The 23112-nt window shown below is 53.1% G+C and overlaps 1 long non-coding RNA gene across 1 annotated transcript, besides 8 other annotated features; it reads right to left on the reverse strand.

The window, feature by feature from the left end:
• Positions 1-20: 20 nt before the first annotated feature.
• LOC100996549 (uncharacterized) lies at positions 21-21423 on the reverse strand. The gene is made up of 3 exons (XR_241267.4): positions 19872-21423; positions 14564-15550; positions 21-730 (listed from the first exon to the last, which is right to left on the reverse strand). It is a non-coding gene; the product is annotated as an uncharacterized LOC100996549 (long non-coding RNA).
• Positions 5091-5385: an enhancer, noted in NCBI's record as "tiled region #12215; HepG2 Activating non-DNase unmatched - State 20:ReprD". NCBI's record gives its function as "activates a minimal TATA promoter and a strong SV40 promoter by Sharpr-MPRA in HepG2 cells {active_cell/tissue: HepG2}" and the evidence as "EXISTENCE:reporter gene assay evidence [ECO:0000049][PMID:27701403]".
• Positions 7204-7754: an enhancer, noted in NCBI's record as "H3K27ac-H3K4me1 hESC enhancer chr2:9905902-9906452 (GRCh37/hg19 assembly coordinates)". NCBI's record gives its function as "activates a minimal SCP1, AML or CMV promoter by ChIP-STARR-seq in naive H9 embryonic stem cells {active_cell/tissue: H9 hESC(naive)}" and the evidence as "EXISTENCE:reporter gene assay evidence [ECO:0000049][PMID:30033119]".
• Positions 10807-10916: a silencer, noted in NCBI's record as "silent region_11140". NCBI's record gives its function as "represses an Ori minimal core promoter by ATAC-STARR-seq in GM12878 lymphoblastoid cells {active_cell/tissue: GM12878}" and the evidence as "EXISTENCE:reporter gene assay evidence [ECO:0000049][PMID:35858748]".
• Positions 11619-12547: an enhancer, noted in NCBI's record as "H3K27ac-H3K4me1 hESC enhancer chr2:9910317-9911245 (GRCh37/hg19 assembly coordinates)". NCBI's record gives its function as "activates a minimal SCP1, AML or CMV promoter by ChIP-STARR-seq in naive and primed H9 embryonic stem cells {active_cell/tissue: H9 hESC(naive and primed)}" and the evidence as "EXISTENCE:reporter gene assay evidence [ECO:0000049][PMID:30033119]".
• Positions 12548-13475: an enhancer, noted in NCBI's record as "H3K27ac-H3K4me1 hESC enhancer chr2:9911246-9912173 (GRCh37/hg19 assembly coordinates)". NCBI's record gives its function as "activates a minimal SCP1, AML or CMV promoter by ChIP-STARR-seq in primed H9 embryonic stem cells {active_cell/tissue: H9 hESC(primed)}" and the evidence as "EXISTENCE:reporter gene assay evidence [ECO:0000049][PMID:30033119]".
• Positions 19459-19588: a silencer, noted in NCBI's record as "silent region_11141". NCBI's record gives its function as "represses an Ori minimal core promoter by ATAC-STARR-seq in GM12878 lymphoblastoid cells {active_cell/tissue: GM12878}" and the evidence as "EXISTENCE:reporter gene assay evidence [ECO:0000049][PMID:35858748]".
• Positions 21161-21300: a silencer, noted in NCBI's record as "silent region_11142". NCBI's record gives its function as "represses an Ori minimal core promoter by ATAC-STARR-seq in GM12878 lymphoblastoid cells {active_cell/tissue: GM12878}" and the evidence as "EXISTENCE:reporter gene assay evidence [ECO:0000049][PMID:35858748]".
• Positions 21331-21380: a silencer, noted in NCBI's record as "silent region_11143". NCBI's record gives its function as "represses an Ori minimal core promoter by ATAC-STARR-seq in GM12878 lymphoblastoid cells {active_cell/tissue: GM12878}" and the evidence as "EXISTENCE:reporter gene assay evidence [ECO:0000049][PMID:35858748]".

Below are 23112 nucleotides of genomic sequence, written 5' to 3' on the forward strand. Positions count from 1 at the left end.
AAAATATACAGACAAATCTCTAAGTTTAAAATGTTTTATTTGGGGAGCAAGAATTTCAGTTTGGGGCATACACACAGACTGGGTGGTCTTCAGTATGTCCAAAGAGCAAAGAGAAGGTTGTAGGTTTCATAAAAATGAGAAATGTTATGGATTGTTAGGAAAGCAAGTTCATTAGCACTAGCAACGTTTTGGGGATCCGGCAAGCTCTGATTGGTGAGTGGGTGAAACTAGTCTTAGATTTCCGCAGGTTGTTTCTGTAGCTATTAGATCAAACCGGTTTCAGGTTGCAACACTTGTTCCAGCAGCCAGGGTTGGAGACAGTTATACTCTTGGAGCAATGTTACGTGGTCCAAGTGCTTTTTCCTGTGGTCTCATAACTCTGCTTGGCTATGACAACAGTGACCTTTGTATGATCAACTTTCACAGTGGCCACAGGAGAAGCCAGATTTGAGCCCATGCCCATGCCTTCTGGCTGGCTTTCTCTCCCTTGCTCCTGGCAGGGCAATGCAGGGTGAGTGACAGAAGTGGACTCAGCTACAGGCAACATTGAGTGATCTAGGTTCCAAGTATGGCACTTTATCCGTTGTCTTATCAACATAAAGATACAGCGCTTTGAAATTTTGTCAAATTCAGGTTTGAGCAGCCTGATGCAGAAATTCCTGGGTCAGGGACTCCAGGGCGGGGATTTGGAGGGGTGAGCTGGCTGCAAAGTCTCTGGTCAATGTGGGTTCTGGAAAAGAAAGAAAGAAGGAAGGGAGTCTCCTCACTTCACCTCTCTGGTCTCTCCAACAGTGTCCACCGTTCTGAGCCCTCAGCTGCCTGTAGCTCTTTACAGAACAGACCCCACCCTGCTTTGTATCCAACTTTGTATCCAGCATCTCAGATGTTGCCACAAGGGGCAAAACCAGGGGTTGGGTGACTCCCTAGCCAGAACTCCAAGGCTACACATAGCTATTTAGACAAAAGAAGTGTGCTTATTTATTTGCTTTAGGATGCAATTTCATGAGTGACATTTAGCATTTGTTGAGCCCCTATGTTTACAAAGTGCTTCCACCCACATGGTCTCATTGGACCACCTGTGAGGGAGCACAATGTGACCTCCACCTTAAGGACTGAGTGTGGGAGTTGACCAGGAGCCCAGGACTGTCCAACTCCTATTCTAGGGGGTTCTTTACATCCACAGAGGTTTTGAAACCCAGGAGCATGCCTTCCGGAGCACTTAAATTGCATTTGATGTTTAATGACTCTTATTTACTTATCACAAATACAATTTTTAGTGATACGAGAGCCAAGTCACAAAGACTAGATTAAACATTACTCTCTTCTGTTGCATTGGCTTCTCTACATCATGGTAACAGGTTGTCAGGTTCAACTGCAGCATTGCTGTTAGAGGCAAAGGTAGGCAGGAAGCTCATTCTTGCAATCCCTAGAACTTTAGTAAAAACTCAAAGATATCTATTTTTCTAACCAGATACTATTAGCTTTATTTTGCATCCATTCATTTACTGAAGCCTACATGTGTTTCAGTAACTATGCTAAAAGATTCTGTTTGTCCCTATTTAAGGGCACTCTTAGTTCAGTGGGAGTTGGTGGCAGTGGCAGATATGTACAGTTACAAGGTGATGCAATGACAGTGACAGGCAGAGGGAGGTCTGGGAGCACAGAGGGGAGGCACCTAATCCAGCCTGGTTATATCAGGGAGGGCTTCTTGGAGGAGGTGACATCTGAGTTTCTCAAAGGAGAAGGTAGCCAAGGGAAGGAAAAGAAGATGCAGGAAGTAGAGAGAGGCTGTTGAAGGAACTGGGGCACGGGAGCATTGGGTACTCAAACAAGGAGTGGTTTGCGGAGACGGACCTTAGGGAACACAGTGGATGTGGGAAAAGCTCAGCCCAGCCCTCTGTCATGGGTTTTGTATGCTGAGCCACTGGGAGACTTAAAAAAAGAAGACCTTTTATAAAGAGCAGTTTTAGGTTTACAGCAAAATTGAGCAGAAGGTACAGAGAGTTCCCATAGAGCCCCTGCCCCCACCAGAGTTGTACATTTGTTACAATAATAAGCTTGCATTGACACATCATGTTCATCCCACTGGAAGATTCTGAGCAGGGAAAACATTTTCACATTACCTTTTACAAAGTCTTCTTCCTGGCACTGAGTCACAGTCGTTTTTAAACAATTAATGGTGTAGGTTGCTACTTAGCATTTCCCCAGAGCAAATGTTTCTATGATCTCCAAAAGACAGAGGATATGATGTCTTCTTGCCCCACCCTGTAGATCTGTAAACCTAGAACAATGGCTGGTCATAGCAGATGCTTAGAAAGTAGAGGAGGGTAGAGGCGGGAGGAAAGCAGGGGTAGAAAGAAGGACTAGAGGAGGGTAGAGGCGGGAGGAAAGCAGGGGTAGAAAGAGGGAGTAGAGGAGGGTAGAGGCGGGAGGAAAGCAGGGGTAGAGAGAGGGAGGGAGAAAGATAGCCACAAGGTCTCTTGTGTATTTCAGAAACATCATTCTGGCAGCAAACAGAGGAAAGATGGCAGAGGGTGTGGCTTGTGGTCAGGGACAGTTAGGAGACTACTGTCATGCTCCAGGTGCAAAGCGCAAGTGGTCTGAGTAGGTGGCCGCGGTGGAGAGAAGGGGACATCGAAAAGGTGGGATCTACCCCACCAGGTGCCTGAGGGTGTGAGTGCAGTAGAAAACCACTGGGAAGTTTTCAAGGCCCAGGCCCAGCTCTCAGTCTTCTCTGAACCATCGAACTAGAGGGAGAGTTTGTAAGGACTCCAAAGGGAAAGAGAACACGGGAGGGAAGGAGGGTTGGGGAGGGTCAGGTAGGATGCTTAAGGTGGATTGAGTTTGAAATATACAAGCTAAGAAAAATGTCAGATGGTTCTTGTTTATTGTCTAAAGAGTAGAGGGGAGAAAAACAGAAAACAGACGTTTATGTTGTTGAGTGTTAGACAAAAGGCCCCACGTCCCCTGCTTCTGAGTGAGAATGACGATGTGCTGTAGGATGACAGGGCCCTTTGGAGGTTCTGTCTGCAAGATAATCTGTTTGCAGATGAGCTCCAGGCACGGGGAAGGTGCGTGGTGTCAGTGTGGCTTGCTGAACTCACAGCAAGCCATTTCAGGGATGCTGGGACGGAAGCCGCCCTCCCTTTCCTGCCTCTGCTTCCAAGTTCTTTCTCTGCAGCCCTGTCAACGCGCCGCCTTTGCTTCATAGCACATCTCCTAATGGGCTCTGGCGGTGCTGAGGCAGCCTTCATATTCCATTTGTTCCTTGGATAATAAGCTTAGCCTCGAAGCCAAAAGAGAAAGCCCTGATGACTATTAAATACACATGCACGGGGCTGACTGCTCCCCAAAACCCCCAGCTGGACATCGCACCAGCTCAGCAAGGCCATTTGCATCCAGGCAAATGGCCCTCAGTGACTAATAGAAATCCACCTCTATCTTGGCAAGGAAGGCCTTCAGCATGCAGCATTAATTTGGTTTGCACAGTGGGATGGAACACATCTTTAGTTCCTTTTAGGGAACTGACTTACGCTTTCTCCAAAGGGTGCTTCCTGGGGGCTCCCAGACATTGGAAGTGCTGGGTGTAACTCGTCTCAGGGGCTCCCTAGTCCCAAGCACAATCTGCCTTATTTTTTTTTTCCAGTTTTACCGCTCAGAGAGGATTGTGATGACGAGGTCACCTGGATCCTAATAACGCTTCAAGTCATCATTAGGGATTGATGCATTTGGCCTGGCATGGACAGCACCGCTGCAGCTCACAGCCAGAATGATTCTGTCTGGCTTCCCCCTCCACACCAGAAGTCTGGAAATGCAGCCTGTTCTTTTCCATTTGGAGTCCCGGGATCTGGGTTATTATTGCCAAAGGCAAAGGAATGAGTTTCTAGAATTATAACTTGGAGGAGCAATGCACCAGGGAGTAAACCTAGGAAGTTTCCAGAAAGCTAGAAGGTGATTATCTCCACAGTGTACTCTGAATGTGAAAACCCAACTAACAGAACATTCAGACGTAAGTGCAGGACTCCTCAGCCTGTCTCCACCAGGACTTTTAGTCAGTCTAGGAGGGCAAGAAAGATCACTTCAATTTTAGGATCTTACTGCACTCTTGGGGCAAAAATAAGCCTGTGGCCTTCGGGGGTCTCCAAGACACCTGCTCAATAAGGATGTTTAGTCTCAACCTCCAGAATGAACTAGGCTCAATTCAAATAAAATTGGTGAGGACCCACTAGTGCCGGGTGGGAGGTGACTAAGGTGGGTACAGGGGAAGGGATGTCCTCAGTCCTATGGTCATGGGCTTGCTGGCTGGGCCCTCACCCCAGAGAGCAGTCGCCCAGGGGCTGCAGCACCAGAAGGCCTTCCCCACTGTTAAAGCCTAAGGCCTTGTCCGGGAAGACTAAGGCCTGGAGGAAATCACCTGGCGAAGAACTGGGACTAAAGGGCTGTGCTTTGTGCCAGGATCAGGCATTTTCCAGGTTTTCTGAGCAGATCGTGTGGTACATGGGCAGGGCCAGCACATACGGTTGTGCATGTTGTCCACTGTGCAAGGACATCCAGCTGAAAGGTGAGCGAGGGCTAGATTCCAGCATGCCTGCCGCTCACCACACTGTGTGCCCATGGTGTTGCGTCTGTCCAGAAGGGGCATCCTTCTCTAAGTCACACAGACAGACCCTGTGGGCTCGCTAGGGCCCTGGACATGAGGAGAATGAAACACCCCAGGGAAGGGGTCAGCGAGATTTGGCTGAGCAGCACAGGGCTGCAGACAGGATGGAAAATACTCCCTTTACCACACTGGCTGCCTTGCCTTTGGTGCTTTGGAAGGGAATTGCAGGAATTAATAACCAAACTCACTCTATTCCATTCCTAGCACCTTGTACACATTCATGGCCATGTTAACTCTACCTATGCCTCCTCCTGGGCTTGCGTGCAGTTATTCCCAGCGAATCCCTGCAGGTGCTGTAAGAGACAGATCTCTGCACAGGCGGCTCGTCCTGCCAGCTGGAGTCAAGGTTATCTCATCCAGGCTGGCCAAAACCCATAAGCAGCCCTCTTTCAGAATTCTGCCTGCTGTGCTACCTAAATATAGTTCATGTTACCTGTCTTTTAAAAATATTTCTAGCCTCTCTTTTTTCCCCTGTATATTCATGATTTAATTTTGTATGCCACTTTTTTCCGTTGCTACATGCTAAGCATTTTCCATAGTGCCACGTCATTTCCACACTGCCCTGTGTCATTATGGCTGTATTATCGCCAGCTAAGCAGGGCTCTGTAGTCTGACTAATCATTATCAAATGGTTTACTTAGCAGACACATGTCCCCCTGGTAGGAAATGTTAAGTGAGGGGTAGAAGATCTCTCCTCAACTCTGTTCTATTCAACATTTTTGCTGATAGCCAAGATGAAGGTGTAGCATGCAGACCACTCAACAAATTGGCAAAAGACACAGAACTGGAAAGGGTAATACATTGTTTGGACAAAGTAATCAAGATTCAAGATTGCCCAGCAATGCTTCCCTGGAAGCTTCTTCTTACCTACCCCTGTCTGCATAGGGTTTTGTCAGAAAACATTTTAAATGGTCCACTTTCAAGGCATGATAAATCTAAGCACTGGCAGCCAGCCCGTGAATGTAACAAATGGCACAGCTCATGCACCTGGAAGGTCTTGATAAACAAACAGAATGTAGAAGAGGGGTCAGCCCATAAAAGGGAAGAAAGTTCTATTATTGGGAAATTGAAACTTAAGAGGGGAAGAGGACAGGGTATAACCTTATAAGGGGGATAATGGCACTTAGGCAACATCCAGGAAGATTGTCACCCCACAGTACTCAACCATGAGGAACTGGGGGAGGGACTTGTGTGCTAGGAGATAAATTACCTGCTGTAGCTGCCCCAGATGTGCCTGCCTACTGGCCACCCGATCTTGCAAGACCTCTATTAAAAGTCTCACTTTTGCTGTTCTTTGTCCTCTGAGTCCATTGTTTGGGTTTGCACAGATGAGCGTGTTTCTCCCAGTTTTACTCAGCAGCCACAACCACAGCAGGTGGCTCATTGGTGCAAGGTGGGCAAGAGACCCGAACTGGGCCAGAGAACCTTCCTGATGATTTTGGAATTGGGGCTTACAGATTCCAGGCGTCTCCAGGTGGCTTGAGCATAGCACATCAGCTACGGAGACACTGTGGCTGTGTTTTGTCTTGTGACCCCGAAGTGGAGGAGGCTGGCTGGGAGACAGACTCAGCGAGAAGGAAGGTGCAGAGAAAAGCAAGAGAAAAGAGAGGCAACTAGAACCCTGCTTCATTTGTTCCTGAAGCCCAGTCACATTTCTGCCCCCTTATTCAGAAAGTCCATATCATGAGAATACAATCCCTCAGCCTGGCATCTGTGTTCATTGCAGCTGAGAAGGTCCCAGTGAAGCCAGCAGACAGAAGATCTGCAGTCTTGGTCTCCAGTTGACTCAAAGTTCAACAGAGTCAACAGGCTGCAGAAGAATCAAGCCCCAAATTGGGGGAAAGACCACATTTGGAGGGTGACAGTTTTGGTGTGACCTCAGCAAACAGTAGGATGCCTGAAGAAGTCCCCTGGACAGTAAAATCAGGCTCTACACTCAAGGGCTGAAAGAATTAGATAAATTTTGGCAGAAGAAGGGAAGAAGATTTGGCAGAAAGACACATTTGTCATATAGGGTGTGGAGAACCAAGGTCAGAACTAGGACAAACAAATGAAAGATGCCTGAATGCAAATTTTGGCAAGTTTTTTTCTAGCAGGTATCTGCTAGTGGATGGGGTTTCCTGGGAAGAGGCAGCCAACAGGCAGGAGTTTTAGCAGAGGCTGGGTGGCCGCACGTTGGGTAGGTGAACCTCCTGAACAGAGGTGGTTGGACACATCCAACCCCAGCCCATGGTTCTGGGGTTGGTGTGAAGTGGCATTTTCCCTATCTTCTGTAGACTGAGAAGTGACCCTCTAACAGATGTTTCAGAAATCCCAGGAGTAGAACGTTTGCCTTGAACTCCTCCTCCCAAGCAGTCCCTCATTTAGGAAATCACCCCAATGGAAGCAGCAAAGGAAGCTTTCTCTGAGTGAAGGGCAGTGCCCACAGTGGCCTGCCAAGAGTATGTGGCCCTCCCTGACTGTCCCTACCTCTGGTGGGAACCTAGAGGGGGCGGGAGGACATATGAGTAAGTGCACCCCCTAAAGGACACAGGGGCTGTTGCCTTGCAGAGGGTCACATGCTGGGCTTGCCTGGCGAACTGGAATCTCTCAATTCAAAGTCCACAGGCAGACAGGGAAGTAATTTCCTAGAAATTAAGTCTGAACACTACAGAGCCTCTCCTCAAAGAGTGAATATGGGCCGGCAGCTGGGGCACACGGGGGCCTTGTGTGTGCATGTGTAAGGGTGTGTACTGTTACGTGTGTGCACATCCTCACACACGTATACACCCTCACACATGTACATATGCTTATGTGTGCACATACCCTCACATCTGTACACACACACCTGCCTCTACACACCCACATGCACACACGCTCACACACCAGGGCACCTCAGAGGAAGATTTCTTCTCTTCTGAGGAAGTCGGGGAAGCTCCTGGCAGGAGAGTTGAGCTGGGCCGACCTGAGGCTGCAGGCCCAGGAGGCTGAGGACTGGGAAATGGTGCAGGGCCCAGCAAGCCGCAGAAACCTGCCCCCAGGCTGGGCATGTCAGCACAGTGACCACGCAGCAGCAGCCCCGCAGGCGGGGGCTCCCTCCCCAGCCCAGAAGGTTCCCTATAGGGTGCAGAGCGGCCGGCCAGCCCTGGGCCCACTCCAGTTAGAGCTGAGCCAGCAGTGTCTGTACTCCACCAGCCCTGCCCCCGTGGCCCAGGCTTGTTGCTTCCTCCCGCTCCTGGAGCAGGGCCCTGACTTGTTCACACCTCCCAGGCTTGTCCCCCACCTCCCACTCGGTTCCCAACACTGTCCACAGACATTCTTTTAAAGGAGACTTTGCTTGCATCACTGCCCTGCTTAAAACTCAACAGTGACCCATTCCTCAGCCAAAAAGCAGGTCTTCTTCAGCCTAGCGTTTTAGAACAATAACACATTTCTCAAGCCCTGATCTGAGTGTTTTTACATACACAGTTGACCCTTGAACAATACGGGTCCACTTATGCACAGATTTTTCTCCATCAATGTTATACTATACACTCGCCCTTCCTGCCTCCCCTCCCTGCCTCCCCTCCCATCTCCTCTACCTCTTCTGCCTCTGCCACCCCTGAGACAGCAAGACCAACCCCTCCTCTTCCTCCCCCTCCTCAGCCTACTCAATATGAACACAGCAAAGATGAATCTACTTCCCCTTAATGAATGGTGAGCATGTTTTCTCTTCCTGATGATTTTCTTAATAACATTTTCTCCTCTCTAACTTACTGTATTGTAAGAATACGGTGTATATATATTATATATACTGTATAAAGTATGTATTAATCAACTGTTTATGTTATCAGTAAGGTTTGTAGTCAACAGTAGGCTATTAGTTAACTTTCGGGGGAGTCTAAGGTTATATATGGATTTTTTTTTTTTTTGAGACAGGGTCTCCCTCTGTCACCCGGGCTGGAGAGCAGTGGCATAATCATGGCCCCCTGCAGCCTCGACCTTCTGGGCTCAAGCAATTCTCTCACCTCAACCTCCTGAGAAGCTGGAACTACAGGCGCATGCCACCATACCAGAGTGTTTTTATTCTACTGTTTGTAGAGACAGGGTCTCCCTATGTTGCCTAGGCTGGTCTTCAACTCCTGGGCTCAAGTGATCCTCTCACCTCAGCCTCCCAAAGTGCTGGGATTACAGGTGTGAACCACTGCGCCAGCCTTCACATGGATATTCAACTCCATGGGGGTGGGGGCCAGTGTCCCCTAATCCCCGCTGTTGTTCAAAAGTCAACTGTATTTGCCTCTTCGTCCCCACAATCACCCCCTTGAAGTAAGCATTATTATTATGATTATCTGCATATTATAAGTGAGGGAACTCAGGCAGGAGGAGGAGGTCATCACTTGCCCACTAGCACAGACAACAGGGGACAGATCCAAATTCAAACCCAGACAGTCTGACATCTCAGCCCACACCCTTGCAGCTCAAAGTGTGGTCCCTAAACCAGCACATCAGCATCACCTGAGAGCCTGTTAGAAATGCAGAGGCTCAGGCCCCCCAACTCTGCTGAGTCAGGAAGGTCCCCGAGATCTGAGAAGCTCTGCTTGTGCTTCAGAGCCAGGTCCCCTCTCACCCACCTGCCTCAGCTCTGTCAGCCCCCTGCCTCTGCTTGTGCCGTCCTTCAGCCTGGAGCTCTCTGCCCCGGTGTGTGGACCCTCCAGGTCCCCCACCACGTCCACAAGTAGCTCGCGTGCTCCCTCCTCTTCTGACCTCCCTGGTCTGTGGCTCCCCCATCCCCTAGGGAAGGATCGGTCCCTCCCACCCTGAGCTCTCGACGCAAGGTCGTGCCTCGGTTATTGTTCTGACATTGCAGAGGGTATCTGTGAGTGAGTTGGACTTGACGAGTTCCCCTTTTTGTGTGAACGCATGCGTGAATACACACACCTTGTGCTCCTCGTGGAACAGGAGAGCCGGCCTCTGAACCCCAGTCCCTGTACCTGTCAGCCGGGGCTCCCCTCCTTCTCTTTCCCACCTCCTTGAATCCAACTCTGAGGACCTTGGTCTTATGTTGTCCTACATGCCTGGCCTGATCCCTAATGAAGCCCTTGATCTCAGAACTCAATGCATCATTCCCCACCAGCCAGGAGGAGCCGGACAGCTTTGCCTGCCTTTTGCCTTTCCCTTCTGATACTTTCCCCTTGATCTCAAGCCCTGTCGGTAGCAAAGGGCAAGCAGGGGCCTCCCAGCACAGCAGCTGGTGCCCTTCGCCACTGCTCACCCCTCCCTGCCCCAACACCTGGCCTTGGTGGCTGAGGGCGATTGGGAGGGGTTTGGCTGGGCGGCAGCAGCCAGCACAGAGGGCCCAATCTGGCCCGAGAGGCAGGTGAGCAGAGCGCTGGAGGGAGCAGGCAGGAGAAGAGCAAAGGCTTGGGAGCTGAATCCTGTCTCCACAGCGTCCCCTGCGGCCTCACTCCTCAGCACTTCGGCTCCCTCCTTCTCAGCTGGGGAGAATGAGACAGCCCACGAGGCTGAGGCCATTATGAGGATGAGAGGAGGCGGCTCGTGTCAAAAGAACTGAGTATTTAGCCAATCACCATTTGATGGACTTCTGGACAGTCGGAACTGGAGTTCATAAGGAATCATTACCAGGCAGGGAAGCTGTGTCCCGTGCAAGGGGGCACGGCCAGCTGTTAACAGAATGAGACGACGCTTCTTGCACCCTGTAGTGCTGCCCGTGGCCCTCTGTGGCTCCCCTTCGTTGATTAGGAAAATGGAATCAGGGTAGCGCCTTGGGAGAAAATGCCGTGGATCCCAGGGCCAAAGCTCATTGTGCCCTTGGTGAGCTGTTTGCCCTGAGGAGAGCCCAGCAAAGATGGCTCCCAAGTCGTCTCCTTCAGCCACTGCTGGGCCTGGATGTCCCTAGAAAGTGGGCCAAAGCCAGGTCATGTTCCTGTCGTTGGGGAAGTGGAAAAAAAGGGGCTGCCATCCCGCCTCTCTGACAAACACAGGGAGGTGCCCCCGTGCCTCCGCCACTCTGCCAGGGATACAGACAGACACTCAGGAAGCACCACAGGCCCCAAGAGGCACAGGCACACTGACAAAAGCAAACCCATACCGGGGACACAGATACCACACACATTTAGTCATCGCTGGCGGCCCCCAGGTGCCAGAGACTCTCACAGAAGCTCAAGGACTCGAATGAGGTGTTGGTGTGTTTAACACCCATGCCCCCCCCCACACACACCTGTGTATGCCCACATGCTGCCACTCTGACCTGTGGGTGGGGGCAGGCATGTGAGTGGGCTCTGAGTCTTGGCCTGAGCAGGTGCGTGGGTGTCCCCCCCGCACTCAAATGGGCAGCTGGAAAGGAAGGTCAGGCTCAGGTGCGCAGAGCACAGTGGCCCTGAGCGGGGGTGGTGGGCGTTGCCATGGAGATGACAGCCAGAGAGGCAGCACTGCAGGCGAGCTCCGTGTGGGCGGCTGCTGAGCCCGCAGATCCACAGATCTCAGGAGGGACTGGGCAGTGCTGGAGGCTCCAGGATGGGAGCGGGGGGGCTCTTGAGGTGGGGGTGAAGCTGAGGAGCTCTGGAATGGTCATGAATTTGTGGTCTTGGCTGGGAGCACAGACTATGGGGCCTCTGCCTCCCCCATCAGTGCCACTCACTCCCACTCCTGTCCCCCACCAGCAACTGTGCTGAGCTCACAGCCAAGGCAAAGCTATCAGGGAGGGCAAGCAGAGGCGGGGAGCTAAGGATCGTGGCTGGTTTTAGGAAAACGGCTGAGGAGGGTCTAGCTGATTCTCCCCACCTCCTGGCATCACCTGACCTCTCTTTCTTTTCCACTGGTCCCTCCTTTGCAGCCTAGTGGAATGGGAATCACAGAGGACTGGGAGTCAAACAGTAAATCAGGATGCCTGTCCCTGTCGACCAACTCTGGGACCATGAGCAACCTGCCCAGTGAATCTCAACCTGGGTCTTCACATCTGTGAAATGGGATGAGGAACCCTGATCGACCTACCTCCAGAGCTGCTGAGAAGGTCAAATGACTCTCAAGAAATTCAACTGGACAGACATGGACAGATGCTTACTATGCACCAGCACGCCGTGGCGCTCCAGGGACGGAGAGAAGTACACTCTTGCGGAGCTCACCAGTGAGTGGGTGGGAGACGAGCACGTGCAAACAAGACAGCTCGGATAAGCGCCAGGACTCAGCCTGTTCCAGCAGCTCCTGGGAGTGCCTGCTAAGGGCCAAGTACCGGGATACAGAGAGGCAAGAGCGGCAGAGGAGCCCAGGGACTGCATGGGATTCAAATCACGAAAGAGCAGCGGCCTCCCCCAGAGCAGCCCTCAAATGCATCCGTCTCATTCATCCTCATACACCGCCAGGTGGAGCCACTGAATGCTCTCCCCATTTTACAAGTGAGAAAGCTGTGATCAGAAAGAAACAGCTGTCCCAAGTGCAAACGAACCCTGGGAAGAGGTGGAGCTGGGATTTGACTCTTGTCTGGCAGGTCCCAGAGTCCCTGCTTTGGGCCACTGAGCTCAACTGCTTCTCCCGGCCTCACCCTTCCATGTGCCTATGGCCTCTGGGAGGGAGCTGCCTGGTGTCAAAGGCCCTCCCCTGCTCCCTGCCCCGGCCCTGGCCTGGGCTGTGGTCCCACCAGCCACTCACCCCTCCGCCTTCCCTGTTCTCTCCTCCTTGCCTGTCTTCAATAAGACGGTCCAGGGGCGTGGACAGATAGCACAGTGTCACAGAGCCCGACAGCACTGACATCGGCGTCCTACGCCACCACTTGCGAGCTGGGGCAAGGCCACGGAGCCTCTCTGAGCACTGTTTCCACGCTGCAGTCCACACACGGGCAGTGCAGGGCATGAGCCAGACCCTCAACACCTTCAGTGCTCGCGAGGCACTCTGCACCCCCAGTGCTTCCAGAAGGGGCCATCTGTCCCCTGTTTCCAGGCAGTGGAAGGTGGAGTCTAGCCTGGCAGGACAGGAGGCAGAGGCTGGGCCTTGTCTCCAGAGAAACCGGGGCTCAACTCCTGCCTCCTCCCTCACTCGCTGTGTGTCCTGGGGAAAGTCACAAGGCCTCTCTGAGTTTTGTTCCTGGGGCCTCCCACCCCAGGGTCCCAGACGGGATCCAGCAGGACCCGAGGTCCATGGGTCTGAGCTGGCAGGATCTGAGCTCAGAGACCTTGCCCCTCTCCAGAGGACCCCCACCCCTCCCAGCTCCTCTAGGTGGCCCCCTGGTAGCCTCCCGGGGCCCTGTGAATGGGGGAGGGGGAAGAAGGCGCTGTCACCTGGGTTTGAGGTGGAGGGCACTGGTGGATGGCAGAGGAAGCCTGTCTGGGCTGGGAGAGGGCACCCTATGGCTCCCCTCTCTGGGCCTGGCTCCCCCACTGCTGACAGCCTGGGCTGTGAACAGACCGGTGGGAGGGCCTGCACGGGGCGGGGGATGTGAGGCCAAGGCTGACCTAGGTCTCAGGCACAGCCTTACAGTGGGCAGCTTTGAGAAACCCAGTGAGAAGGGCCAGCTCTGGGCTCAGAGGCCAGGGAGGGCGTGGGAGAAACAGGCAGCGCCCCGCACTGGCTGGCATCTCTTGAGGTTTCTGTAGAAATGTTTGCTCCGGCAGGAAAAAAAAAATCTGTTGCCATGGTAACCTATGTCTTCCCTCCCCAGCTGAGTCCTCAGAGGGAAAATCATCTCAGAATTCCCAGGGATGAGTGGCCAGCTACACTTAGGGGAAGCTTCCCAAACCCAGGCCTCCCAGCAGGGTGAAGAAGCCACATTCGCTCAAACACTGGAGCCTCATTCATTCATTCATTCATTCATTCAACAATCACTGAGACTCTACGCCCCACCCTGTGCTGGGCCTGGGGATGTGGAAATTCATCCAACTCGGTCCCAGAACTCAAGGAGCTCAGACTCTGGTGGGAAGACAGGTGTGTAAGCGTGAAGCCATGGAGGTGGTGAGAGCTTTGACAGGGGATGGCAGAGTGCTGCAGAAGCACAAAGGGAAGGTGGGAGGGCTTCCTGGAGGAGGCCCGCTTTGGCTGGGTCTTTGGGCTGCTCTAGACCCTGGAAGCCCTTAGAGCCCAACCCCCTGCCTGGTGTTCCACCCATTTTACAGAGGAGAGCACTGAGGTCCAGATAGGGTGAATGACTTGCCAGGGTACAAGGAAATGAGTGACAATGTGCGGGTGGGGCTGATGTTCCTAAAAGGAAAGGCAGCTTCATATCCGACCTGAATAAATAATGTATTCTGGATTTTAATTATTTAAAAAGCCTCCATTTCACTGGTGTCTCATCAAAAATAGAAACTCTCTTCCTTTCACTCTAGATTTCTTTTGAAAGTGGCAGGTGGGCGCAGAGGTAGGGCCTGGGCCTCTGAAGCGTCCTGCTTGTGGCAGCAGCTGTGAAGCAGAGGCCGCAAGCCCCGAGCCTCCGACGGAGAAATGACAAGTGACCGTCATCCTGGAGCCTCCCCCCTGCCTTAGGCCAGTCTGCACCTAGCCCTCAGATGGGTGGTCAGCGCACCGCTGTTCCCACAAGACTCGGGTGGTTCCCCAAGTCCACCAGCTTCTCTTTCCTCCCGGGCACACGGGGGTCTTACAGCAGCACCTCTTGGAGATGTCGAAAGAATCCTGCATTCGGTGTCTCTGGGGGGTCCCATCTCTGTCCCCAGACCGGACACACCGTAGACCCCCAACTTATGGACATTTCCATCTTTCAAAGACAGGCCTTAGAGAAAGGAAAGAAAACCAAATCGCCAAGAGGTGTGAGAAGAAAGGGCTGGGGAGGGAAAGCTGGGACACACCAGCCTACTCCTTGCCGTTGGGGTGATCTTGTGGCTTTGAAAATCTGGATCAGTTCCCCAAAACACAGCCAGTCAGGGGCTCTCCCTCCCCACCGTGCTCTGCAGCATTCCCGCCCCTTGTTCCTCGGTATCTTACCAAGCCCGCATCGCACAGATCAGCTTCTTTTCCATCGGAAGCAGCCAGAGAGCTGTCAGAAGAAGGTCCCATTCCCCGGCTCCAGCCCAGCACCAGATAGAATCTCGCCGAGGCTCCCGACTGCCACCACTCCCATCTGTCTTCCTTGCCATGTGTCCCTGGGGCTTAGCTCTGAACAGAGATGTCACCCAAACAGGGTGAGGCCACCACAAGTCAAGGTCTCACTTCCAAACCAGAGCACACTCAACTCCAGTCCACCTCTCCCCACTTGGCTGTCCCCAGACCCCATCTGTAACATTTGCATCTCTGTTGGAGAAGGTCGAAGGTCAACCACCAAACCCCAAGCCCCCTCCAGCTCCTGCACCCGCCACACTGCCCTTGACGTTCCTCCCTCACGCTTGGACCCTCCGCTGGGCTCTGTCATGAACAAGAACTGCAAAACTCTGGGGAGCGCTGCTGCTCTCCAGGTGATTTCTATCAAATAACGCCGCTGGTCCCAAACCATCCTGGGAGGTAACTACTATTATTAAGTAGCGGGCAAGTGGCCATGAGCTAGGGAGTGGCAGAAGCAGGGCAGAAATGGAGGTCAGCGTCTCCGCCTCCCCTCTCTTCAGACTTCTTTACCTCATTTGATCTTGACAGCTGCAGACAGCTGCCACTCCCCACTTTACAGGCTAGGAAGCCTCAAAAAGCAAAGTGACTTGCCCAGAGCTCTGGAACAAATCCCTTGACCTCCACAGGGGCTGCATGAATATCGTTGGTGGCTTAAGCCACCAAAACGTGTTGTCTCCCAGTTCTGGAGGCCAGAAGTCCAACAGCAACGTGCAAACAGGGTTGGTTCCTCCTGGGGCTATAAGGGAGACTGCTCCAGGCCTCTCCCTCTGTGTCTGGCAGTTTGCTGGCCATCTTCCACGTTCCTTGGCTTCTAGATGCATCTCCCAGTCTCTGCCTTCATGCTCACATGGCCTGTGTCTGTGTCCAAATGTCCTATAAAAATAAGGACACTGGTCATAGGTCATAGTGGGTAAGGGCCCACCCTACTCCAGAGTGGCCTCATCTTCACAAATCACATCTGCAATGACCCTGTTTCCAAATACAGTCACATTCGGACTTCCAGGGGGTTAGAATGTCAACATGGGAATTGGGAGACACAATTCAACCCATAAGAGAGGCTCAGGGGTCATTCCCCAGGAGGCAAGATGTGGTCATCCCATCTCTACCCGCAGAAGCCACTGCAGAGGCAACTGGCCTGGCCCCAGGAAAGCTTCCCGAGGACTCTGACTTCTACCAAAAGGCTAAGGAGCAGTTGGAGCAGGAAGGAGGGAGCTCACGCGGAGGCCGTCCCACTTCTCCCGGGAGAACACGTCATTCTGAGAGCCTGGGCCTGGACTGAGGGGCAGAGTCTGCAGTTCCAGTCCCCGAGATCCACTCTCCTGCCCGTGACTCCGGTCCCAGGGCTCATCTCTGTGGTCCTTAAAGGCAGTGACTACGGCAGCAGGAGTGGGGATGGCAGAAGGACGTCTACACAGGACTGCTTGGGATCCCAGTTTCCACGTGTTAGCTGTGTATCTTCAGACAACTGACTTTTCCCTTCTGAACTTGAGTTTTCTCCTTCAGGAAAAATGGGGCTTTGCAGGTTTGCTGTGGGGACAGCACCTGAGCTCACCTAGGCAGAGACAGCAAGTTCCCACCTGGCCCCAGAAGAGACCAAGCTTGCTGTCCTAGCGTCTAAAAAGCCCCCAAACCAAGATGCCAACCCCACACCCAGCATGCCCCAATACCTAGCTCCAGGCACAATCATCTTCACTGGGTTAAAAAGAAAAATCTCTTGGGACCCCAAGGCAGGCAGATTGCCTGAGCTCAGGAGTTCAAGACCAGCCTGGCCAAGATGGTGAAACCCCGTCTCTACTAAAATACAAAAAAATTAGCCGGGCATGGTGGCGCACACATGTAATCCCAGCTACTTGGGAGGCTGAGGCAGGAGAATTGCAGTGAGCCGAGTGAGCAGAGGTTGCAGTGAGCTGAGATCACACCACTGCACTCCAGCTTGGGCGATAGAGCAAGACTCCGTCTCCAAAAAAAAAAAAAAAAAGAAAAGAAAAGAGAAAAAGAAAAGTGTCTCCTAAAAATGAGGTCAGATTGTAAGTCACCCTCCGTGTTCTTCCCCGGTGCCAGACAGAGTGGACCTGAGGGCTGGCTTCAGCCACTTCTGTCCGGAAGCCTGCAGGCCGCCTGTGAGTGAGTCGGCCCAAACAGAAAGGTGAGGTTTAGATAAGAGAAAGGGGGACATCATTTGCAATGTATTTTGGGGGTGTCCTTTTTCCTTTCTCTTCCTTGGCCAGGATGAGTCCCTCGGGGAGGGGGCACAACAGGACCTCAGAGGTGGGTCCTGGTCGGGGTCTCAGGAAACGGAACGTGTCGCCATTCTGCCTGCTCTCCACTGTGGGATGAGTCCTCACTGCCATGGGACAAGTGAGAGTTCCAGACAAGGACCTGCCATGGACCAACCCAGACACGTGGGGCAATGACTTTGTCTCCCTCAAACCTCCGTTTCCTCACCTGAGGTAGGGAGATCTCTAACCTCAGCCAGCCCCTTTCATGGAGCCATTGGGATGGTCAGAGGGCCAGTGTCAAATGTGAAAAACGCCTCGGATGCCATGAAATGCCACAGGGGTGTCAGCTTTGGGTGAGGCCACTAGAGTTCCACGGCAACGAAGGGCTGCAGAAGCCATGCTGATGATCCATGGGGACTCTGAGCTCCAGGGAGAGAAGGGGAAAGTTCAGCCTACACAGCAGGTTGGGATAGAGCAAGCGGGGAGCCCAGACCTGCCGACCCCCAGGCCTGGCTGAACCAGCCCTTCCTCTGGGCCTGCAGGGGGTTGGAGGGGCTCCCCGTTGCACAGTAGAGGTGCTCCTGGGCACAGCAGCCTGGGATAAAGCATTTTAAGCCCAAGGTGTTTGGGGACAGGTCTTGCTGTTGGTTACTTTCACAGGGACAAGTCAGACTCAGTGCATAACGGCAGGGACTGAGGACTGCTCGTGGCTCCGGGGAAGGCTGGCAGGGCTTGGTTGGATCTTGCACTGCCTCCCTCCTCCCTCCTGGAGGCCAGATACACCATCCTGCCCCCCAGCCTTGGCTAGAGATGTCCCCTCAGCCTGGCTGTCCTCCCCACTCCTTCCCAGCTGGGGAGCAGCACCCTTCAACCACCTGTCCACGGCCCCTGCTCCAGGAAGCCCACCTCACAGCCAGCCAGAGGTGACTCTGCCCCCCCTGCCCTGGCCATGAAGTGTGGAGTGGTGGAAAGGGTGAGGCCCAGATCTGGAAACCTGGCTTCTCCTGCCACCACACTGTGGCTGTGAAACGTGAGCAAGCACTTTGCCTCTCCGAGCCTGGTTCCTTATCTATAATTGAGTTTAATTCCCAGGAGTACTGAGGGGAGGAGGGTTAAATTTGTACATGGAAGAAATACATTTGAGCATCTATTAAATGCCAGGCTTAAAAATGTACACTTACGTGTTAGTCATAAAAAAAGCGCCAGGCCTGACTTTAGGCATTTATCAAAAAAGACAAAGCCTGTATAAGTGAATATTCTAATGGGGGACACAGTGGACAGATGAACGACGACTCAAAGAAGAATAACAGGCAGGATAAGGGTGTAGACTCATCCACGGAGGGTGCTATGCTCTCTATAGACACCATAGGTACTTAATAAATGCTGAATGCATGGATGGATGGATGAATGGGTGGATGGATGGGTGGGTGGGTGGATGGATGGATGGGTGGATGGATGGGTGGGTGGGTGGATGGATGGATGGATGGATGGATGGATGGATGGATAGACAGATGGATGGATGCTGCATCATACCCCCACCTCTCATAACCAACAACGGCCATGGTTGTCACCCACAGTATCTCCTTCTCAGAAGAGCTCGCCAACCCCCCAAGGTGGGCCAAGGAGCAGCCAGAAGAGGGCTCTGAGTGGAGGTGGGCATGGCACCCCTCCCACGCTACCTCCTCCTCTCCTAGGACCATCTCAGAAGTAGCCTCCCCTTGCAAGGAGGCTGGCAGGGCAGAGAGGGTCACCCAAGGCCTGGAAAGAGCCCCAGCAGCTGGCAGCAAGTATCCCAGGCACAGGGCGAAGGCTCTGCCTGTTTCCTGTCTGGACCTCACAATGCCCTGGCATGGCAGGGCGTCCCCCCGGGAGCTGGTGCTGAGAGGGTGGCGGAGGAGGAGACCCCACCTCGGGGGACCAGGGATCAGGAGAGTCAGCAGGGCCTTCAGAAGTCCCCTGATTCAGGCTTCTCACTTCTAAGTGGGGACATGGAGCCCTACAGAGGGTGAGGACTGGCAGAGGTAACCCAGAGTCAGGTATGGGGCAGAATTAAGCCAGGTCTACCTGAGTCCCTTTACAATTTACCTTCAAAAGGCCCCAGCTTCTGCTGAATGTTTCCTCCCCTTTTAAATGCACCCTGCCCTTGGTCTTGTCCTTGACTCTGCCCTTGGCCCTGTCCTTGGCTTTGCCTTTGGTCCTGTCCCTGCCCTTGGCTCTGTCCCTGTCTTGGCCCTGCCCTTGACTATGTCCTTGTCCTTGTCCTTGGCTCTGCCCTTGGCCCTGTCCTTGGCCTTGCCTTTGGCCCTGTCCGTGCCCTCAGCTCTGTCCTTAGTGGCCCTGCTCCCTGGCATTACCTCTCCCTCACCCACCGCTCCCTGTCTTACTAATCCAAGGCCACCCTGCTTGTCTCCCATGTCCCTCATGCCTTTTGTCAACTGTGGAGATGATGACACTCAGTGGGTAACTATGGCATATGGCTTGTGGCTTAAGGAAAGGCACTCCAAGTTTCCACTCCACGTGCTCAGTCTCTAGAGGGTCCTAATGTGAGACCACAGTCTCAGGCAAGCCATTCCAGGGCATGAGGCTGAAGAAGTGGCTGACAGTCCCAGGCCAGGCAGCACTGCCAGCTCCTCTCCTCAAGGTGGAGCTCTCCTCTCCACCTCGGCAGGAGTCGGCAGTTCACTCAGCCCATGGGTGCACAGGCACATGCGGGCACACATGGGCACACATGGGCACACATGGGCACATGCAGGCACACACAGGCTCACGTGGGCACACACACAGGCATACAAAGGCACACATGGGCACATTCGGGGCACACGAGCTCATGTGGGCACAACATGGGCATACACAGGCCCACTTGGGCACACTCGGGGCACACATGGGCCCATGCAAGCACACATGGACACACACAGTCACACATGGACACACACGGTCACCCACACGGGCAAACACTCCCAGTTACTCCAACCTACCTCCAGACCTTCCTGACCTGGATCCTCCCGATCTGGGCATCCTGGGTGGAAGGTAGGGCTCCCCCTAACACCTGCCTGACTGAATAGAAAAAGAAAATAAATAAAAATGGAGCCTTTCCTCAGCTTCTTGGGGAAGTCGTGGGCCGGCCAGGGGTTGGCAGGAACCAAATGGGCTGGGTCAGCACTGCATGAATCAGAGGATTTGAGAATTGCTGGGCGAGAGGTTCTGCAAATCACCAGATCAGAGCACTATGGAGACACGGTGTTTAGCATCACAGAATATCAGAATCACAGACCCTCGGGAACAAGCACTGCTGTTCCCAGCCTCCTCCCTACAGATGTCTCCAAATCCCAGACAGCACCCGCTGAAGCCCCTGCCTGGCTTCCCTGCTGCTGTCGGCCTCACTCCCTTCCTGTCCACGCAGCCCACCCTCCTAAGCGACCTTCTGCCCAGCCACAGCCATTAGCTCCCTGCTGCTCAGAAGCCATAGCAGGCTCATTTTTATGAGGAGGACAGAGTTCATTAGCTCACCCTCTGCCAATCCCCTCACTACCAACCTCCTTTCCCTTCCAGTCTCCCCCAGAGGGGCCACACTATAGCACACATAGTAAAAAAGTCTGGGCACGAGCCCTGATACACATCTATTGTTTGTTTGAAAATGATGTCCCTGACAGTGCAAGACGACTGGCCTCCTCCTGGAGTGGATCAGGGCTCCCAGAGAGCACGAGAGGAGGTAGTGGAAGCTGCTGGCCTCCCGAGGCCCGGCCCGGCCACCACCCGCCTTCTCTTGGCTGCCTCTCACTGGCCAGAGCAACTACAGAATCTGCCTGGATTCAGGGAGTGGCATGGGGTGGGGTGGTGGGGGTTGACGATGGCTATAAGAAACGGCTTTGAAGATGGAGGGAGGGCCATGAGCCAAGGACCGGGGCAACCTCAGAAGTGGGAAAAGGCAAGGAACCAGCCTCCCCGCAGAGTCTCCGGAAGGAAGATGGCCTGCTGGTGCCCCAGTTGTTGCCCGGGGAGACCTGCTGCGGACTTCTGACCTCCAGAACTATAAGATAGTAAATGTGTCTTGCAAAATAACAAATTAGTGGCTTAAAACCATGAAATTTGTGGTAACTGTGACAGCAGCAATAGGAAATTGATACAAGTATGTATCCGACTATTATTATATGTGTTAAGTGTTGTTAGAGTAGCGAGAAACAGACATCAGCTTTAGCAAAAAAAAAAAACCCACAAAAAACCCAGAAAATGTATGAAAAGATACTGTCCCAGCTCACAGGATCAAAGTGCTGAGCGACCACTCACAGGAAGCAGGAAACACGGAGGCTCTGGGTGGATCAGTGAAGCAAGAAGTTCCTGCCCTTCTCTCAGGGCACCTGCCTGGTGGAGGCTCCATGCAAGTCCCAGGCTCCATGAACCTGGATCCCAAACTCACTGGAAAGGGAAATCCAGACCCAGCCTGCCTCTGCCTGTGATGGCTAGGAGAGGGAATTGCTGGGCCAGGAAGCCACCCCTATGGGTACCTGCTGGAGCCCAAAGCCCCGTTCTAGTAAGCTGCAGCTGGTGCAGAACTTAAACCTGTGGCCCCAAGGCCACGCCTCCCTCCAGGCCACAGTTGCTCTCAAAGGCAGGCTGGTGAGGAGGCGTGTGTGGCCTGAGCAGGATGCTAGAGAGCCGGGGAAGCTGAGGCAGGAAGAGGCATTGGCTCCAGCTGGCAGAGCCCTGGAGTCAGGAGGAGAAGCCGGAGAAGCTCATGAAGCCCAGAGTCTGCGTGCTAGGGACTCGCGAGCCGCATTTGGCCACAGACGGTTTTATTCAGCTTGCGTGGTTTTTGTTTGCCTGTCTGTATAATGGCTACAATATGCTGAAGACATTAACAAGATGGATTTGCAATTTGCTTTCAAATCGTGTTTCTTTGCAGCCTCCCATCTCCAAAGTGAGGAATGAGTTCATGGCTTCAGAGAAGGAGGTGAGGTTTCTACCCTGTGCCAAGTAAAAGGTCTTCACTTTGAGACTGAAAGTTCACTTTTCAGAGCACAGAGAACTTTTAGGGGTTGGCACATGTTTCTGCTGAGGGCTGGGTAGGGAATCTTTTAGGTCAGTGGGTTTGTGGTCAGCAGGCTTGTGGTCTCGATTGCAACTCCTCAACACTGCTGTTGAAACACAAAAGTGAGCGAACATGGCTGTGATTCAATAAAACTTTATCGGTCCTGGAATTTGCACTTCATATAACTTTCACGTTATGAAACGTTCCTGTTTTGATTTTTTTCAACTATTTAAAAATGTAGCAACCATTTTCAGGCAGCTGGCTATATAAAAGACATGGCAGGCTGGCTTTTGGTCCCTGAACTGCTGTTTACAGGTATTTATTCTAAGACTAGAGTTAGAGTGACCACTCATCCAGGCTTGCCTGGGACCTTCTGCTTTAGCATGAGAGTGCTCTGCTCTGTCGGTGATTAGATGCAGGGATGACCCGGGTTTGTCTGCCTCGGGTCTTCCCTGGCTCCCAGGTGATCCCACCTGGAGTTAGGAGGTTCTGAGGGGACAGGGGCCGTGCCCTTGTAACAGAGGCTGCTGGACAGATGGACCGGGCCCAGGATGGGTTGGGAGGCACAGCCAGACCTCAGGGGGTTCCTATAGCACTGGTGAAAGTGAAGGAGGTTCCTGTGAGAAGGAAGGACCTTGAACCTGACAGGGCTAAGGGACAGCAGATCTCAGACCTCAGACCTCTAGCCTCAGGCATCGCACAGGCCAAGCAGGGACAGGCAGACATGGGGTGTGGGCCCAGCGGCTAGAGGAGCCAGCTCGACTGTCCCCAGCCAGTCCATGTCACTTGGTTTTGTCCCCTGCCTGACCCTTGTAGACTCCCGATTTCCAACCCCTGGTTGGCGGCTGGGAGGTGTGGAAAGGGAGTACTGGGCGCCAGGAAAATGGGGTTCCCGGAAGATGACTCAGGCAGCCCCAGAATATGTCTCCATCACTAATAGAGTCCAGAAGCAAGCCTGTGCCCATCCACTGCGATGAGGGTTTCTACGTGATGTTACTGTCATCAAGCCAAACCTGCGGTAACGCCAACCCCTAAAGGCAACCAGGACTTCAGCCAAGTTCAAGTCCTGCATTGCATCAATACATTACGTGGACTTTGAGCATGTCAGTTCTCCTCTCTGAGTTTTACTATCCTTGTCCATATAATGAGGTGGGGTGGGTTTCCCACTGGATCTGAACATCTGTTTTTTG

This window comes from Homo sapiens, chromosome 2 (assembly GCF_000001405.40).
Source record: "Homo sapiens chromosome 2, GRCh38.p14 Primary Assembly".
Lineage (NCBI taxonomy): Eukaryota > Metazoa > Chordata > Mammalia > Primates > Hominidae > Homo > Homo sapiens.